This window comes from Homo sapiens, chromosome 3 (assembly GCF_000001405.40).
Source record: "Homo sapiens chromosome 3, GRCh38.p14 Primary Assembly".
Taxonomy (NCBI): Eukaryota; Metazoa; Chordata; class Mammalia; order Primates; family Hominidae; genus Homo; species Homo sapiens.
The window spans coordinates 186,306,891-186,327,227 of NC_000003.12; the positions used below are offsets into that span (position 1 = coordinate 186,306,891).

Sequence of the window (20,337 nt, forward strand, 5' to 3'; positions counted from 1 at the left end):
ATGTTCTTACCTCATGTGGGTCATATTGTTTGAGGCTCCCACCCTCATTAAATTCAGTCAAGGCATCTTTTATCTTCTTGGAGGAATCTGAAGAGACACAATTCACATGTGAAACACTGGCAAATAGCTAATGGAAGCTGGGCCAAGTAAATTCTCCCTGTGTAACCATGTTTATGTTGGAGCTGCCCCTCAGTCCCAGAAAATCTGGAGAAATGTCACCCTCTTCTACCCTTTGTCCTCTCACTTCTTCTTTTCCATCTGACTTCCCCCCTGCATCTAAATTATCTTTCTGAAACACAAATCTGATCAGATCATATCCCTACTCAAAACCATTCAAGGGCTTTCTGTTCCCCCAGGATAAAGCTTACCATTCTTAGCTTAGAAGATAAGCCCTTAACTTGGAATACCAGCCCTTGGTGATTTTATTTATCCTATTCCTCATTTCCCTATTTACTCTACGTTTCAGCCATATCAAGTTACATTTCCAGACATCCCTGAACATATTGTGCACTCTCTCATGATGTTTCTTCTCTGTCTTGCAAATTTCACTCATTCTTCAAGATCCAGCTCAAATGTCAACTCCTTTGTAAAGTCTTCCTTTGCACCAGTCAGAGTTAAGCATTCCCTTCATTGGCTCCCACGTGACTTGTACACAACTATGTAATAGTGCTTGTCATATAGTGTTATAATTATTTATTAACTTGCCTATCTTGCTCATCTCCTGCTTCAGCTTTACCTTGAGAGCTGTTAACTGGCTGGTGAGTCTTTGTCTATCATACTAAGGTCTGACGTGTAACTAGGGCTCAGAAAAACAATATGTAGATGAGTATATAAACATCTGAGTGAAAATTTCAAAACATTAAAAATTCATTAAGTATGTAGGATGAGTGGGCATTAAACCCCATAAGGCTCTGTCCTTGGTGCTGAAACACTGTTGTACACTATGGCAAGATAGTTTCTTCTACTTCTGGAATCTTGACAACTCTGTCCCTTTTTTTTTTTTTTACCTGATTTTTATTTTTTATCTTGATGGATAAAATTGAGCTACTCATTCTGACACATAAAACATAACCTCAATTATGTCTCATAATTAGCATGGTTGATTTTATGTTCCCATGGTATTTCTCACATATTTCTGACAGCCAGAAGATTTTCCTCTGAAAGTTGAGGCCTCCACCCCCCGCCATGATTTCCCCTTAATGTTCCCTCTATGTTGCATTTACTTTGGAAGGGGATAAAGAAAGACTCAGATAATTCATCAAACATGGTGTTTTCGAAAATGCTGCTTTCCATAGGAAATCATTCAGAAGCAACTGGAGGCAAGACTGGCTGCTTCTTTTTGGAATTTTATAAAGGAATTGGGAATCCAGAAAAGAGACTCAATAATTGTTATTAAAAACACATTATGAATGCATCTTGTGCAGCTATCAGCACTCTAGACATCAAAGCAAACCAGGGTTTCTCTGACCTTGGCTATCCCTCTCTTCCAATATTGTGGGTAATTAAGAGCTTTCCAAGCTCCATTATTGTTGCTATTTAAACATCTGAGCCAAAGGACGATGTTATTAAAAGCTCACACAGTGTTTTTTGTTGCCCAGGCTCTTTGTACAGAGGGTTAATGTCTCTTAAGCCTAGGTAAAGTAGACATATTCGTGGGCTGGGCTGTTCTCCATGGCTTTGCTGACTTGGATTCAATCAAGCAGAAGTTCTAATCATTTCAGGATTGAGACATATTGAAATACAACAGGAAAATGCTTCTGTTGCCTAAAAATGGAAATTTCTTTCTGAAATTCAAAACAGATGTTGAAAAACTAATAGCTCAGTAAGAGCCAGGCAGCAGATGCTGTCAATTTGGGCTGCTTCCATTCAATTCAGAAAACACTAAGGAGGGTAAGATGCGGCAAGATACTGTTAATGGACTAGTGGGAAAGATGATCTAAATAACTGTGGTACTAATAGCTGTCCCTTACTGGAGACCTTCACCTGCATAGTCTCATAAACTCTCCTCTACTAATCCATGCAAGTATTTTCTTCAGTTTACAGATGAAGAAGCTGAAATTCAGAAAAATTAATTCGACTTGCTCAAGAGCCAGGGTTGTAACTCAGGTCTAGTCTGGCTCAAAAGTGTATGGTCTTTTCCCTTGAGCATTATTCACTATAGCTTCCTAAACATTTGTTAACATAAAGAAAGGTGTAATTAAGGGTGACACAATGATATGAAGTTCTATGAAACACCAAGTTGGGAAGAAGAAAAATTAAGATGAAAGTGGGGTAGGGGTGGGAACTGAGGCTGCCCTATAAAGGAGGTAGCATTTGAGCTGAGGCATAAAGAATTGGGTAAGGTTTATAAAGGCAGATATGAAGTGGAAAGGGTATTCTCGGAAGAGACCAAGGGAGCAACGGTGCAGAGATGGGCACCATAAAACGTTTAGGACAAGTCAGAACCAGAGAGTCATTTGTGGCTAGATTTGTGGGGGTCTTGAATGTAGAGTTAAGAACATTGATTTGAAATGGTTAAAGATTTTTTTGAGTGGTGAAATAATATAACCAGCTCTCTGTTTTCTAAAGACCACTCTGGAAACAGGATGAAAGAGAAGTTAGAATGAGACCAGAGCTCAGTTAACATCACACATATATGTTATTCCACAAGCAGCTTAATTATTTAGGAAAACAAATCCTACATTTTAGAATCTATTTTAATGGGAGGTTGTTAGCTCAGCCAAAATGGCTAAATAAAAAAAATAAAAATCTGAGAACATGAGTACCCCTGGTGTGACTTCTGCAAGAAGAGTGTAGAGTTAGCATTTTGATTGAGAACCAGTGGAGTAATTTCAATTGAATATATGATATTTTGATGTTCTCATCTCATTTTGGATATTCCACCATTCACTGTAGCAGAATTCCTTTGATTCTAAAGAGCTGCTGCTCTATTTTAAAAATCCTGCTTTATATTTAAATGTGTGATATATATACACACATAAATTCATCATATGTTCGCATAAAATAAACTGAGGTTTTAATAAGAAAAAAATAGAAAAGACATTTATTTTAAAATATCTGATTAATAGCCTGAAATTAAATGGAAAAAAAAAACACAGCCGGGCGCGGTGGCTCACGCCTGTAATCCCAGCACTTTGGGAGGCTGAGGCGGGCGGATCACGAGGTCAGGAGTTCAAGACCAGCCTGGCTAACATGGTGAAACCCCATCTCTACTAAAAATACAAAAATTAGCCGGGCGTGGTGGCACGTGCCTGTAATCCCAGCTACTTGGGAGGCTGAGGCAGGAGAATCACTTGAACCCAGGAGGCGGAGCTTGCAATGAGCCGAGACCGCACCACTGCACTCCAGCCTGGCAACAAAGCAAGACTCCGTCTCAAAAAAAAAAAAAAAAAAAAAAAACCACACACACACAACAAGAATCCAGGAGGTTTCTAACTAGCTTTCCGTGAGGTGGATTACTCATCACACATTTACTTCAATTTGCTTTATGGGCTTTCATAGGATTATAGTATCAATACCCTTTAAAAAAGGGAATCAACTTAATTCTCAAATTTGGGACACATTACTTTCTCCTTGGATGTCCTTATATACTTTATAACAGTTTTCTTCTTAATAGATGTCTGGGTTGGGTTTCTTTTTCCATGAGGAGTAAGTAGGTATTATGCATGACTAATCTGCTTCAGTGACAGCTGCTTTATTCTGTTTCATCTTAAGACAGAAAAGAACAACGAGGGAATAGCATCCCTTGGTCTTATTTTAGGTGTCATCTGTGGGTCCAATAGTATAACCTCACAGAAAATTCCTTTGTCAAAGCCTTTACCATAATACCAGCACTAGATTCAGAGGACACCTTGTTCCATTTCTGCCTGTAGAAAATAGGGCCATTTCCACAGCTCTTTGTAACAATTCCCATTTTGTAGAGTGCTTATTATATGCTAGACGCTGTCCTAGTCACCTTATATATTTTATTTAAATCCCCACAACTACCCTCTAATGTAATAATTATCCTTATTTTAGAGAAGAAACCGAGGCTTATGGAATTTAAGTGATTCTTTCAAGGAGACAGCTCGTAAGTCACACTTCTTAAACATTTCTAAATCATAGGCCATGGTTATTGGATTCACTGGATACTTGAACACTGGTAAGTTAGAAGCCAGGACTCTTCCTCTATGAAAGTGGCTCTCAAACCTGCCTGCATGTTGAAATCACCTGGGGAGCTCTATACACACTGTAACCCAGGTCTTACCCCAGGTGAATTAAGTCAGCATCTCTTGAGGAACCCAGGACACAGTATAATTTAAAAGCTTCCTGGAATTCAGATGTACAGTCAAGGTTGAGGACTGCCATTCTAGGACATGATTTTATTGTTGTAAATGAAGACTGTCCTAAAAAGCCCCTGAACTTGAATACTTATTGCCAAGGGAAAAAAAAGCTTATAACTTCTAAATTTAAAATTGCTGTGCTTGGCAGACATTATCCATTGTTTAAGTGGACAACACCAAAGAACTCTACCCAACAGGTCAACTTGTTCAGCTGCTTGGCAAGGTAGGAGCATGTTTTGCATTCACCCAGACTGTCAGGACTATCCACATACAGTTCTGTCCTAAATCGGGTGTTCAGAAAGTTTTTCTCTTTGATCAAGGTTACCAGTGCCCTAAGAAGTTTTCAGTCCAAAATTGTCTTCTATACTTTATGTGCCAAGAACTCTGGGACCTAAACCAAGCACTGTTCCTAGTGTTTGAGCAAATTCAAAGCCTTTTAAAGGGAAAAATTTGGCCCTACACACAGACACCTTTGTTGCCTTGTCAGTGTGGGACAGGGGTGCGTTCCATCTGAACAAGCAGACAAATCAGAGACTTCAGTGTTTACAGCAGAATATTAGTTGTGCTGCCAGGACTAGACCCCAAAGTTTATAGTCTGTTGTCTAGTTAAGAACACAGAGTAGGCCGGGCGCGGTGGCTCACGCCTGTAATCCCAGCACTTTGGGAGGCCGAGGCGGGTGGATCATGAGGTCAGGAGATCGAGACCATCCTGGCTAACAAGGTGAAACCCCGTCTCTACTAAAAATACAAAAAATTAGCCGGGCGCGGTGGCGGGCGCCTGTAGTCCCAGCTACTCGGGAGGCTGAGGCAGGAGAATGGCGTGAACCCGGGAAGCGGAGCTTGCAGTGAGCCGAGATTGCGCCACTGCAGTCCGCAGTCCGGCCTGGGCGACAGAGCGAGACTCCGTCTCAAAAAAAAAAAAAAAAAAAAAAAAAAAAAAAAAAAAGAACACAGAGTATTTGAGCATTAGACCATTAAACTGTTAAACTCCGAAAAAACTATAAATCAACATTTTCAAAAGTGAATCTGAAAATCCATATATGAGAGTGGAATTCTAAGGTACATGATAACTCTTCATTCCTCAAAGTTCTCTATGAGCTTCTCAAACTGTAATGTGCGTATGAGTCACATTGGGATCTGGTAAAAATGCAGATTCTGTAGGACTGGGCCACAGCCTGAGATTCTACATTCTGAATAAGATCCTAAGTGACACCAATTTTGCAGGTTCACGGACCTCACTTGATACGCAGGCTCTAAGCAATGTCCCTGTGGATCTGGGGCTGACTGCTGAGGCTTGCCTGTCACAACCCAGAAAAGACCACGATGCCGAGGACAAAGGAACATACTCAATGGAGTAGAAAGACCATAAGTGGTGGGCAGGGGGAGTCACTGAGACGAGGGGAAGGGAAAGTTGGCGCATGAGCAAAAAAATAAAATCTAGATTTTCCTTCTTCCAGTGAAGGCTGGGATGTAAGAATACATTTTCTAATTACTCTAGGAAGTTATACAGTGAGATGCACAAAAACAAGAGCAGAGTTTTGTGAGGGTCCTGAAAAATGTCAAAACAGAAGGGCCAGGGCCAAGAGCACTGCATCAAAAGGCCCACCTCTTCAGCCAGCTGGAGTCAGGCCTCAGAGCAGCACGTGGGAAGCACAGGGGAGAAGCCCAGCTTCATAAGCACGGATGTACTTGCTACACACATATTCTCCCATCTAAACTTTGTTTCTGCTCACTGTTCATCCCCAGCATGCAGCCCATTGCCTGGCAAAAAAAATAGATATTCAAGAAAGATCTATTGAATAAATGAAGGCTAGCAAAGGGATTGAGCTGGTCACACTTGTCCCACATGTCCTATATTCTCAGGGGTATGGAAAGAAAAGGTAGACTAGTGGTTATCAACCTTGGCTGCTTATTGAAATCACTTGCAGGGCTTTAAAAAATACTGATGCCCAGGCCCCTTGCCTACAAACTGTGATTAAATGATCTGGGAGGTGTGGGCAGAACATTGGAAGTATTCCAAGCCTTCCATGTGATTTGAACATGAGCCGAGGCTGAGGACCACTGACATGTGGAAGTGATGGCTCTGACACAGATGTTACATATGAAATAATAAGAAAAGACTTTATATAGAAGCAGAGGAAATTGGGGTCAATAGCAATAAAACGTTTTTTAAGACACAATTTTTTTGTCATAAATGATCTGAATCACTGGTATGACTTATTTGTGTAAGTAAAATTTGTATTGCTAGAACATTTTCTCACCTTTTCTCCAAATAATTTGGCTTCATCAGTCGTATTTCAAGTGAAGGTGGAGGAATGGATCAGACAACTTGGACCATCTTGCAACTAAAAGTGTGGTCCCTGGACCAGCAGCATCAGCATCACCTGGGAGCTTGTTAGAAAAGCAGATTCTCAGCAGTACCCCAGACCTACTGATTCACAGTCTGCATTTCAACAGCTCTCCAGGAGATTCATGTGTACATTAAACATTGAGAGCTATTGTTCCATAGAAATTCCTCCCTATCCGTAGATTCTGTGACTCCTGGTGGGCAGAGTCCTACTCATCGTTAAAAGAAAAAAAGGTCTGTGGTGCTGAAACACATGTAGGTGAGAAATAGTTATGGCTATCCTTCCAAGATAGAAGCAACTAGATATGACCCTTCATGGGCCCAGGACTTCATGAGCATTTGATCAAGTCTCACTCTACTGGCCAGCATAAATAGCAAGGTTTTAGTGACATTTACTTAGAGCCTTCTATGGTTCTACATATCAGCCCTAAATATGTTCTCTGACTCTGACAGTTTTGTATTTTGAACTGTAACTACATCTTAAAGTCAGAAACTTTGTCATAATCTGATTCGAAAGAAATATATTTCCTAATAGCACAATTTACTGATTGATTCTCTTTAATTACATCTTAAAATTTTGCTTTAATGTAATTTAATTGACATATACATATCTGCACACACACACACACACACACACACACACACACACACACACACACACACACATTAATGTATGTTTGAAGGTTGAGCTCCAGTGGGTACTTTTTGTTTAATTTGTTGTTGCTGAATTGAAGCAAATGAGTTTGTACTAGAATTGAGGGACTTTTGGTTCTAATTTCTATTTTACTATCGACCTTCTTTCTATATGACCTTGGGCAAGTCACTGAGCTCTTCTGGACGTAGTAGTCTCAGTTTTAAAATGTGTAATGCTTGGCATTGATATGGTTAAGATTTTTCCCAACTTAAAAATTCTGGCTGAGTGCGGTGGCTCACGCCTGTAGTCCCAGCACTTTGGGAGGTCGAGGCGGGTGGATCACCTGAGGTCAGGAGTTCGAGACCAGCCTGGCCAACATGGTGAAACCTTGTCTCTACTAAAAATACAAAATTAGCTGGGCATGGTGGTGGGAGCCTATAGTCCCAGCTACTTGGGAGACTGAGGCAGGAGAAACGCTTGAACCCGGGAGGCGGAGGTTGTGGTGAGCCGAGATCGCGCCGCTGCACTCCAGGCTAGGTGACAGAGTAAGACTCCGTCTCAAAAAAAAAAAAAAAAAAAAAGTTCTACACAGTCCAAGCAACTGCTGGCTGATGTAGGAAATGTTTGGTTTAATTTCTTAGAGAATTAAAAGTTTAATGGATGCTTCTTCAGTTGTTTTTCCTTTTTTCTCTTTCTGAATAAATGAATAGTTTCTGTCCTTGAGGCATCATGGAACTTTTAAGGAATTAACAAAAAATTGAAGAAAAAATGCCCACCCCCCAATGGCCACCAGCAATTATTGTTAGGAAGAGGGTCAGTAGGCGGCATCCCCACATGCACACACCCTCTGCGGTAGAAATCTATTTAAATATAGAAACCAAGTATTGGAGGAGCTAATGAAGGTCATTTAATCAACCAGATGACTAAAGCTGTTATCTCCCCTATAGTGTCCAAACAAACTCTCTGCCCAGACAGTTCCAGGGAAAGGAAACCCAGTCACTTTTAAGTCAATTCGATTCCATCTTGGGCAGATTTGACCACTAGTAATTAATGTATTCCACACTTTAAAGACTTCCTATAACTTCCTCCCATTAGTCCTAGGGCTACCTCTTGAAGCCATTCAAAATTAACTACACACCTCTTCCCACAACAGTACTGAGCTATTTTAATACAACGAGCTCTTCTTCACCTTTCCCTTCCCTTCTCCAACAAATATGCACAGTATCTTCATTTCTCCATAATGTGGTTGTGAGGCCCCTTACCAACTCTCAAACAAGTTCCAGGTTGTCCATGTCCATCGTAAACCATAGTGACCATAAATAAATTCAGTTCTCTAGAGAGGTCTGACGGTCTATCAGGGTAGGCTAGAATGTGGATATCAGTTTGCCTTACTAGGCACTGTGAGTCTATGAATACAGCCTAAGATTGCAATGACTGATTTGGTTAGATGAAATAGTACAAATGTAGTAAAAAAAAAAAAAAATCTCTGCAACCGCTAACAGCTATGCTTCTGAAGAGTACAGAATGATGTGGGAATGACTCATGATCGATATTGTGTGCTAGCCAGTTTCCAAAGATGGCTGCCATAAATTCTTTCCCTCCCTATGTGAGTCCCTCCTCCCTGAAATGTGGAGTCCGTTCCTCTACTTCACTGAATGTGAGCCAGGCCTGTGACTGCACTGACCAGTGGAATGTGGAGGGAGTTCCGTTCTAGGATCTCTGATCCCAGGTGCTAAAAAGATCTGACAGCAGCTTCTTCTGTGCTCTTGGAGCCCTGAGCTGACATGTTAGATTTCCAGGTTACCCTGCTGAAAAGAAAGGACATATGGAGAGGCCCTGGAAGACAAGAAAGTGCTGGAGAAAGAGGTTCCATGAAGGAACACTAAGGTCCCACCATGTGAGTGAATGAGCCATGACGGATGGTCTAAGTCCTCACTTGTTTGAGGCCTCCCCCTTGAAGGTCCAAACACTGTGGAGCAGAGATGAGTCATGCCCACCATGTCTGCCCAGGATCCTGACCCACAGACTCATGGGAAACCAAAATGGTGGTTGTTTCAGCACACAAGTTTTGAAGTTGTTTTGATGCTGCAATAGGTAACTGAAACATATTGTTAAGGGAAAGAAAACAGCATACAAAATAGCACAACATGCATATTCTCAAGTTTGTTTTACATGTGTATGTTGTATATGTGTATATATGTATATGTGCTTGCATATTTTGATATCTATATTTATACTTATATTTATACATAAACATGCTAGTGCTGGTTATCACTGGAAAATAGAATCATGAGTAGCTTTAAATTTCATCGTTTTATAATACAAATTTCTTAATATCACATTAGCTCTTTTGATAAGTACTTTACATTGTAGATTGATAACAAACTTACTGTCAGCTATATGTGTGTGTGTCTGTGTGTATATGTATGTACGTTTACATACAAAGTTAAGTTACTTGTCTCCAAGAGCAGTTTTAAGATGCCCCACCCTCACCCTATAGAAGGTCACCAGAGAAGGTGCCAACTTTACACTATATAAATGGAAAACAACAAGAGCCTCTCCTACCTGGTAACCCCACTGGAGAAAGTTCTCAATTCTCAGGCTGTACACTTCATTATTTTGTTATTGTAAAGCTCCTGTTTATGTGGTTACGGAAGAGTGGTTGCTATGGCAATGCAATCCGACTGAACACCAGAATGTGTCTAAAATTGGTGGGAATGACTTTTTCAGGGTTTCCTCTGAGGATTAATCATTTTGTAAGAATTGTATCTTTTTTTCCTCTCCTGTTCGAACAACAGTAGCAGAGTGCCTCATCCAGTCCCGCGACATGGACAACACGAGCAAGGGTCAGAGAAGGACAAAGGTAAATGTTTAAAGAAAAGGCCCAACCCCAACACAACCCTCTTCTACTGAATACTCTGGTTCCTTTTCATCCCTCCGCCTGCTCAGCGGCTTTGCTGCATTTGGAGCTCCTCCTTGCCTTTGCGCCCTCCATGCTGCACTCTTTTCCACCTACTTGCCTTTCTGGTTCTTCTCTCTGTGTCTTCTGCTGAATCCTGATAGAGGCATACCTTAAGCCTCATTCTCCAGCCTCTTCTTTTCTTTCCTAACATTCCTACTGTCTGAGTGCCTTCATTCATTTTCTTTCTCTCCTTGCCATCTCCTCGCATGATTCCCAAACCAGAGCTATGGACTGACCCCTCATTTCCACTCAAATCCCATCACACACCCTCCTGGGGCCTACAGGACATGTTTCTTAGAAAGCAGGATTCCCCAGGATGGGGTCCTACTTTCCTTTCTAGTTCTTCCCCCAACACTCCTGATGCCACCACCAACACATGCTCTGGGCTCCAGCCTGGGAGCTGCTTGCAGTTCTTGGAAGCTCCCATGATGTCCTCCACCCTGCCCTGCCCTTGCCCAAGCCACGTCCTCTACCCGGAATGCCCTTCTCCCTCCCTGCCCTACAGTTCCTGGAGTCTGGAAACAATGCGTGCATCAGGAGGCCTCCCACCAGGCTGAGCGGGGCCTTCTCCTCCCATGCTGCCCACTTCTGAGCACCGGCTATACTGCAGCACCCGTGCTTGAGTCCTGTTTGTCTTCCCCTGTGAGGCAGTGATCTCTTTGAGGGCAGGAACTGTGTCTCATTTATTGCTGGATCCCTGGAGCCTGGCACATAGGAAGGCGTAGTGGATGTGTTATCACCATCTCCAAATCAACAATCCCAAACATTCCCCATCAGCCCTGCATCCTGATGTCATTTTCTACAGATTCAGTCTGCAAGGTATCTTTGATGGCTTCCTTTTGTTGTACGTGCATTGATGATATTTCCACCACAGTTTCCCACGAATTAGCATTTGTTCATGGCCACACTCACCACCTTAGCTCTTTGGCTCAGACTAGGTTTCCTCCAAAGGATCCTGCCCAGTTCCCTGGCCTGGAAACTGCCTGATCCAAGGCACCCTGCACACAGTCTCCAGATTCCTGGCTCTAAATTTTGCCCACACTTTGACACACAAGGCCCAAGACCTCCTGCTATCCCCACGCCTCCTATGTCCTCCTCATTTTCTGTGCCTTCTCACCATCCAGCCCAGAAGCTCTCCTTACCCACCCCTGCACACCACAGGAATGCTTAGTGGGTGTGTTATCACCATCTCAAAATCAACATTCCCAAACATTCCTTTTGCTTCCATCGTTCCCCTTCCATCTGCTGCTCACATTTTAAACCTCTTTCCTCCATGGAGTTTATCCAGCTAAATCCTCTGTTATCGGTTCAACCGTGCCCTAAACCTCAAATTTATGTGTTGAAGTTCCATCCCTCAATAACTCAGGATGTAACCTTATTTGGGTTGTTGCAGATGTAATTAGTTAAGATGAAGTCATGACCGAATGGGGGGATCCAGGCCAATAAGGTTGTGCGCCTAGGAAAGGGGGAACTTTGGACACAGAGATATGCACACAGGGAGAATGTCACGTGAGGGCATGCAGGGAGAATACGGCCATCCGCAAGCCAAAAACACAGCCCTGGGATGGATCCCTTCTCCACAGCTCTCAGAAGGAGCCAGCGCCGCTGACTCCTTGATTGTGGACTTCTAGCTCCCAGAACTTTGAGACTATAAGGCTTAGAGACAATAAACCCACGCTGGATTGAACCAAATAGCAAACAACCCCCATACCAGTTTCCCTTGGTTTTTGATCCCCTTCTCGTTTCCACGCTTAGTTTATCCAGCTGTACCAGAGCTGTTTGCCTGCTGCCTTAAAGCAGTTCTCTGTGTCACGAGCACATTTCTGATGCCCTAACAAGATTCTGATTCCTCCAGGGTAGGCCTCTCCTTTGTGCTTCTTCTTCATCCCTGACAGGGCTTGGTGCTTTGCTGACCTACAGAGCTAGCTGAATTAAATTGAATTTACCCTGGAGGGTGATTTTTTGCTTCTTGTCAATATATTAGAGTTTTTCTAAACCCATGGGGGTCAGATGAGAGACCACAGGCTCTAGAGTACCAGGAGGGTGACAAACCATTAGCCCTATGGTCCCCTGTTGACCTCGGAGAGCATTCGGAGTCACAGGATGCTGGGCTGGAAGGGACCGCAGGGAGAGAACACTTAGTCCAACCCTCCCATTGTATAGAAGAGGTTGCTGAGACCCAGGGATGTTCAGGGATGTCACAGCATAGAGAGCAAGAGGCAGAGCTGGCACCTGAACTGGATTCCCTGACTCCTAGACCAGCGCTGGGGACAAGGACTGCCTACTGTGTGAGAAGGGGGACCTGTGCAAGAGCAATAGAGCAGGTCAACAGCTGCAGGCCTCATGATTTACAGAAGCATCAACACAGTTAATGTGAAGGGAGAGGCCATGGGACAAGGGCATGGAGCAGGCAGTGCAGCTGAGAGCTCTACAAGATGAAGGGCCTCCTGGAAAGTCAGTGCCATGCAGGGTAAGTGACGGTCACTCTGTGTGGGCAGCGTGCAGTGGTCAGGTGGTGTCCTGCCACAGTCCAGCAGGTTCCTCTCACCAATAAGGATTAGGAGTAACCTGAGGGGACAAGCCATGGGCCCATGTGTGGCTGTGCACCCTACCACCACTGTGTCTTGCACTGAATTGGTTCTGGGGCACAACTAATGGGAAACCAAGAGCCCCAAGTAAAAGCCCAAGCCTTCCCAAAACAAAGTCAAGAAAGAAACACACATTAGCATTCAGCATCTTACTGCAAGAAGGCTTTGGGTCCAAATGCAGGAATATACTACAGTAAACGATTGAGTAACATTGTAGCCATGCAGCATGCAGCCCTTCAAAATTATGCTCTGAAGAGCTTTAATGACCTGAGCAAATACATACGATATATTAGGCGGAAAATGCAGGCTTAACGCAGGGTGTATACAGTGTGAGCTCAACGGTGTAAAGCAATATGCACAGCAGGGAAGTGCTCTAAGATGTTTGCAGTGTTGTCAGTGATTTTTAACCTACTCTTTTTTTCTATGTATATTGCAAATTTCTATGGTGAGCACGTAGTATTTACTGAGCTTAAAGATAATTGCGTTTTTATGTTAAATACACTAATTCTGTGTTTATAAGGAAATATAAGCCGTCAGGCCTGACATCATTCTTTGTGGCTTTGCAATGATCATACTGCTATGCTTTCCAGAAATGATTTCTCCAGCCAAGAAGAAATCCCGTCCCAGGGCTGTCAATGCATTTACTCACATTCTGAATATTTCTGGAGTTGGTCAAATTCTTCTGGAGTGAGGGAGACCCACCGTTCTTCACCCATTTTTAAACTTTATGTGAGTGGCTAAAGGGCAGTGATGGAGTTTTGTTCACTAGGCTGAAGTGGAGGCCCAGCCCAGGGCCTGGCTCATTGCAGGTTTGCGATGTAAGCCTTTCAGGAGACTTCTGGGAGCACTCAAGTGTATACAGCAGCAGCAGGCACCTCTCAGAAGATGAGACAAGATCTCTGCTATTCCTTAGGCAACATCCTCCTGTCTGTATTCAAGGTAAATTCAGAAGTCCTGGCTCTTCCTAGATAGAAGCAGAAAAGACATTGTAAATGAGAATGTTAAAAAAAAAAGGCCCCAAATGTTCTTTGCTGAAAGATCTACAGGGGACAATTGTTCAATGGTTCTTAAGGATGGTTCTCCCCTTAGAGAGGTCTGAAGAGGGCACAACGACAGTTGTCTGGCTGGTGGTGAGAGTTGAGGGGCAAGCTGTGGCCTGTATGAATAGGTGGGCCATACTACTCAGCTCTGGGAAATGTTCCATGTGTCACATGAGAGGTGGTATTAGAGCTGCCTAAGAGCATCCTCAGGGCATAAAAATGCCTTAGGCTATTGGATGCTTCATGAGTAATTACAGGAACAGGAGCCTATGCAGCCGTTCTGTCCTGCACTGATTTCTAAATTCCACCGTGATAGCTCTGGTGAGCCATTCTGGAATAACCCCAAGGCTGGCTAACATCTAGTGACTGAAGCAGTTCTCTGTCCTCTTAGAGCCATAAAAAGGGAGTTAGAGGAATGGGCTGCTGGCCTCAATGAGGCCGGGAAATGGGGATGGATTCAAACAAACACTGAGCATCTTTTCCTTTGAGCCTCTCATACTGTGGGTCATTAAATCAGTTTTGTGGTTGTGAAATTGATGTAATGAGTCACAACAAGCATGTAAACACATGAAATGGAATAGGGTAGAATGAGATGGAGTCGAAAACACTAGAGTGCATCTACCACAGTAAGGGGATGTATTATGTCATAAGACTTTTCCTTCAGTTATACACCCATGGTTATACTGATCATATTGTGAAGTGTCTTTCTTATTCTCAGTTGAGGTTACAAGCATGGTTGGGAAGCCACCAACCTAAAAAGGTGAGAAATAAAGACCAACTGAAACACAGGCTCTACTGTTGCCAAAGAACAAGCACAGTTTTAACAAAACAGGATCCATCCTGAGGGCCAACTGCAAGGCAAGTCTGGGGTTCCTGGAGCATATGAGCAGTGCTGGATGAGACGACCAAGTTGGGAGGTATATATGGACCATTCTCTGGGGAAATGTGTAGACTGGTTGTTTTGGACCTGGAGAGTGAACTAGAGCTGAGGGAAGATGCTGGAGAGAGAGAGATTCTAGCTTTATAAAGAAAACCTTCCATTAACCAGAATGCATGGCAAGGAAATGAGAGACCCACATTCCTGGGGACATTAAGTTCTAGTCTCTCGCCCTGAGAAGTCCAACTCTCTCCTTAATCCAGCCAGCTCGACTCTGCTCCTTGGCACATGCTACTGTCAAGGTCATCAGTGACCTAGCTGCCAAATCCAGCAGGCACCTTTCAGTCCTTCCTCGGCTTGTTTCTCTCTCTGCAATCTTTCTTTGCCATGGCAGAAAACTTCCACCTAGAGACTCTCTTATGTTTCTGGGTGTTTCTTGTCAGTCTCCTTCAGCCTCTTCTTTTGCCATCTTTAAATATTGAAATGTTTCCACAGCAAAGATATAGAATCAGCCTAAATGCCTATCAGTGGAAGACTGGATAAAGCAAATGTAGTACATATACACCACGGAATACTACACAGCCATAAAAAAGAATGAGATCCTGTTCCTTGCAGCAACATGGATGGAGCTGGAGGACATTATCCTAAGTGAACTAATACAGGAACAGAAATCCAGATACAGCACATCTTCACTTATAAGTGAGAGCTGAACACTGAGAACACAGGGACACAAAGAAGGGAACAATAGGTACTGGGGCCTACTTGAAGGTGGAGGATGGGAGGAGGGAGAGAACTGAAAAACTACCTACTGGGTACTATGCTTATTACCTGAGTGACAAAATAATCTGTACAGCAAACCCCCGTGACATGTGATTTACCCATATAACAAACCTGCACAAGAACCCTTGAACCTAAAATAAAAGTTAAAGAAAAAATGGGCACTTCCAAAATCCTGTCCTCAGCCCTCTTCTCACTCTACATCCCTTCTCTGATGGACCTCATCCACCTCCAAGCTTTAATGACCCCCGGCATGCTGCGGCAGCCCTGAGCTCTCTCCTTGGTCTGAATCTGAATATTCAGATATTCAGATGCCTTAATCCAGATCTGTATATCCAACCATCTACTGTGACTCCCTTGTGTGTCCCAAACCACCCCTGATCTGCATCTTCCAGTGTCCCCAGCCGCTCGGGTTATGCCCAAGAGAAGCCAGTGCCCAGGTCAGAGGCAGGAGGCTCAGCTAAGCTCCTCCCCTTTTCTCTCCTGCCAAACCCAGGCACAGCTCCGGAGTTTGACTGTCCACTGTGTGCTCCCTCTTGTCCACCACACCAGCCCTGGCATTAACTCAGACCTTCCTTATCTCTTGCCTGGCCTTTGACAACAGCCTCCTGCTGCTCTCCCTGCCTTGCGCTTTGTTCTCCTCCCCTTGGTCTGCTCTTTAAATTGCCAACCAGATCACATCTCTCTCGGTAATAAAATTCTTCAGTAGTTTCTACTGCCTGTAGAATAAGATGTAATCTTCTTTTCATGATACACAAAGCTCTTTATGATCTGGCTCGTGATGATCAATTTAGTACGAAAGTGAGGAGTATCCTTTAGAAACCTTTGCCATCGTGCCAGGGAATCTAGCATTGCAACCACTGTCACCGCTGCTGCTGCTATCAATGAATGGACCTGTACTTTACTCTGTGCTATATGCTTTATATACATTATCTAATTTAGTCCTCTTAATAACATGTCAATTCAATATTGCTGTCCCTGTTTTGCGGATGAGAAAAAAATGAGGTTAGGTATTTAGTAAACATGGTGAGGAGAAAGAAGGAGCCACTAGTGCTTCTGTTTAAGAATGCCTCCTGCTGGGTGCGGTGGCTTATGCCTGTAATCCCATCACTTTAGGAGGCTAAGATGGGCGGATCATGAGGTCAGGAGATCGAGACCATCCTGGCCAACATGGTGAAACCTTGTCTCTACTAAAAATACAAAAATTAGCTGGGTGTGGCCAGGCGCAGTGGCTCACGCCTGTAATCCCACCACTTTGGGAGGCCGAGACGGGCGGATCACAAGGTCAGGAGATCGAGACCATCCTGGCTAACACAGTGAAACCCCGTCTCTACTAAAAACACAAAAAAATTAGCCAGGCGTGGTGGTGGGTGCCTGTAGTTCCAGCTACTCAGGAGGCTGAGGCAGAAGAATGGTTTGAACCCAGGATGCAGACCTTGCAGTGATCTGAGATTGCGCCACTGCACTCCAGCCTGGGCAACAGAGTGAGACTCCGTCTCAAAAAAAAAAAAAAAAAAAAAATTAGCTGGGTGTCGTGGTGCATGCTTGTAATCCCAGCTACTCGGGAGGCTGAGGCAGGAGAATCGCTTGAACCAGGGAGTCAGAGGTTGCAGTGAGCCAAGATCACACCACTGCACTCCAGCCTGGCGACAGAGTGAGAGTCTGTCAAAAAAAAAAAAAAAAAAAAAGAATGCCTCCATGGCCTGGGCATTCTGCACACCTTCAGAAGCACAGAGGGAGATCTAAGAGGACGCATAGGCACACTGCATGACAGAACAACACTGAACTAAAACCAGAAGGCAGAGAATTTGAATCTGGGCTCTGCCCTTCTGAGCTATTTCACCCTAGACATATTTTTCATCCCTTGAACTTTGGTTTCTTCATCTAAAACATGAAGATATTAATGAAAAAGCTTACTGGGTTGGTGTTAGGATTAAGTGGGTTAATATATGCAACAAACATAAAAACAAAATCCCCACCTGGTGCAATGCCTGCACATAGCAAACACTCAATAAATGATTGTTATTATCATCCAGTTGCAAATACAACATGTAGCAATGTGGCTTAAACGATCAGCTGAAAAAAAAAAAAAACCCAAAATAACCCCATTAAAAAGTGGGCAAAGGGCACAAACACACTCTTCTCAAAAGAAGACAATACAAGTGGCCAACAAACATGAAAAAATGCTCAACATTGCTAATCATCAGATACATGTACATCAAAACCATGACTATTATTAAAAAGACAAAAACAGATACTGGTGAGGCTTTGGAGAAAAGGGAATGCCTATACACTGCTGGTGGGAATGTAAATTAGTTCAGTCACTATGGAAAGCAGGTTGGAGATTTCTCGAAGAACTTAAAACAGACCTCCCATGCAATGCAGCAATCCCATTACTGGGTATACATCCAAAGGAAAATAAGTAGTTCCACAAAAAAGACACGTGCACTCATATGTTCATCACAGCACTATTCACAGTAGCAAAGGCATGGAATCAACCTGGATTTATCCAATTTATCCATTTATCCAATGATGGACTGGATGGATAAAGAAAATGTAATGCACATATACCATACAATACTACACAGCCGTAAAAAAGAATGAAATCATGTCCTTTGCAGCAACATGGATGCAGCTTGAGGCCATTATCCAAAATGAATTAACACAGGAATAGAAAATACCAAATACCAAATAGAAAATATGTGAAAACCAAATACTACATGTTCTTACTTATAAGTGGGAGCTAAACATTGGGAACATATGGACATAAATATGGAAGTAAAAGACACTGGGGATTACTAGAGGGGGCAGGGGGAAGGGGCAAAGGCTGAAAAACTGAAAAACTGAAAAATTGGGTACTATGCTCACTACCTGGGTGATGGGATCATTCATACTCCAAAGTCAACATCATGCAATATACTCAGGTAACAAACTTGCCCCTGTACCCCCTGAATAATAGTTGAAATTTTAAAAAATCAGCTGGCAGTAGTCAAGTAGAAAGTTTCTAGTATTGTGCCACAGGTTTCTGAACTTGATCTGATACTGCTCCAGGTTGTTGTAATTTTGTAATTGCTCATCAACCCTTATCCACTAGTTTTAGCGTCCACTAATGATTATTGCCTGGATTAATTATTACAATGATACTGATTTTCTAATTCCATCATTCCCTTTATATTTGTTAGTTAGGAGTCTATTGTAAGTAAGAGCTTTCCCTTCTGTTATTTATATCAATTTATATGTCTACTATAAATAAAGATAAATTATAAATATATAAAGAATATATATGTGTGTATAAAAACTGCATTTATATATAATATATATTTATTTTCACAGATTCTTATTTTATTCTGTGGGTTACAAATCTGTTGCTATCTTCGACTCTCAGATTATTCCAGATTTGATCAGTGGAAGCTCAGTCAAGGTGGCGATCTGTTCTTTAGATATATCTCAGTCATTTTTTCAGCACATCCTTATTTTCTAGCACTACAAAATGTTTCAGGCTCATCTCGTACTTCCTCAGCTCAAGTGCTAAAATCAGTCATTTCTCTAAGGAGTTCCTTTGGTGAAGAATGGCATTTGAAGCCAAAGCTTGGGTACCACGTATGCTCACTGCTGCTGGGGTGTCATTGCTTCTAGGCCCTATCAAGGACAGAGCTAGAAAATAGATGCGTGTGCTGGGCGTGGTGGCTCATGCCTGTGATCCCAGCACTTTTGGAGGCCGAGGCGGAAGGATCACTTGAGCCCAGGAGTTTGAGACCAGCCTGGCCAACATGGCGAAGCTCTGTCTCTATTAAAAATACAAAAATTAGCTGGGTGTGGTGGTACATGCCTGTAGTCCCAGCTACTCAGGAGGCTGAGGTAGGAGAATTGCTCGAACCTGGGAGGTGGGGGTTGGATGTTGCAGCGAGCCGAGATCCTGCCACTGCACTCCAGCCTGGGTGACAGAGTGAGACACTGTCTTAAAAAAAAAATAGATGTATGTACACAGATACACACACACACACCCCTCATCTCTCTCTCTCTCTCTCTCTCTCTCTGTTAAATACCTTGAGTTCATACTTACACCTCCAACTCCAGTCCGACATTGCAAAGTCAATTGTAGCCTTCCCTTCCTTCCATATTTTTTAACTATCTTCTCTAACAAGCTTTGTTTCCATCATCTACAACATACTTATTTGCTTAATACACAGAAAGTAGTTTCAGAATTGCCAGTCCACACCTCTGTGAAAAACAAAATAGACTTCAAGATTTGTTTACAGTTCTATTGTTTTCAGGCAACGGCAAATCCTCAAAATGCTACTCTCAAAAGTTACGTAGGTTAGTTCTTTCTCACTCCCATCAGTTTCTGTTTGTATTTCATTTTAGGATGTTTTCTTCATATCCACTGATTCTTTTTCAGTATGGTTCCAAAGTCAAAACTATATAGAAAGATATATTCAGCCAGGCGTTGGTGGCTCACACCTGTAATCCCAGCACTTTGGGAGGCTGAGCCAGGCAGATGCTTGAGCCCAGGAGTTCTAGACCAGCCTGAGCAATATGGCAAAACCCCGTCTTTACAAAAAATACAAACAAAAAAATTCACCAGGCATGGTGGTGTGCATCTGTGGTCCCAGATACCCAGGAGGCTGAGGTGGGAAGATCACCTGAGCCTGAGGGATCAAGGCTGCACTGAACTATAATTGCACCATTGCACTCCAGCCTGAGCAGCAGAGTGGGATCCCGTCTCAAAACAAAAACAAAAAGAAAAAGATATACTCAGAGAAGTATCCCTCATTCCTCTTACTCTTTTC

At 42.9% G+C, this 20,337-nt stretch overlaps 1 protein-coding gene across 3 annotated transcripts in view; it reads right to left on the minus strand.

Annotated features, from left to right (window-relative positions):
* Window positions 1-20,337, minus strand: part of DGKG (diacylglycerol kinase gamma) — a 215,034-nt gene that overhangs the window by 159,690 nt on the left and 35,007 nt on the right. For all 3 annotated transcript variants that reach the window (NM_001080745.2, NM_001080744.2, NM_001346.3), the window contains exons 2-3: window positions 13,503-13,817; window positions 11-87 (exon numbers count right to left, since the gene is read on the minus strand). In NM_001080745.2, the coding sequence (NP_001074214.1) occupies window positions 11-87; window positions 13,503-13,569 (144 nt within the window). In that variant the 5' untranslated portion in view covers window positions 13,570-13,817. The remainder of the gene's footprint in view (window positions 1-10; window positions 88-13,502; window positions 13,818-20,337) is intronic.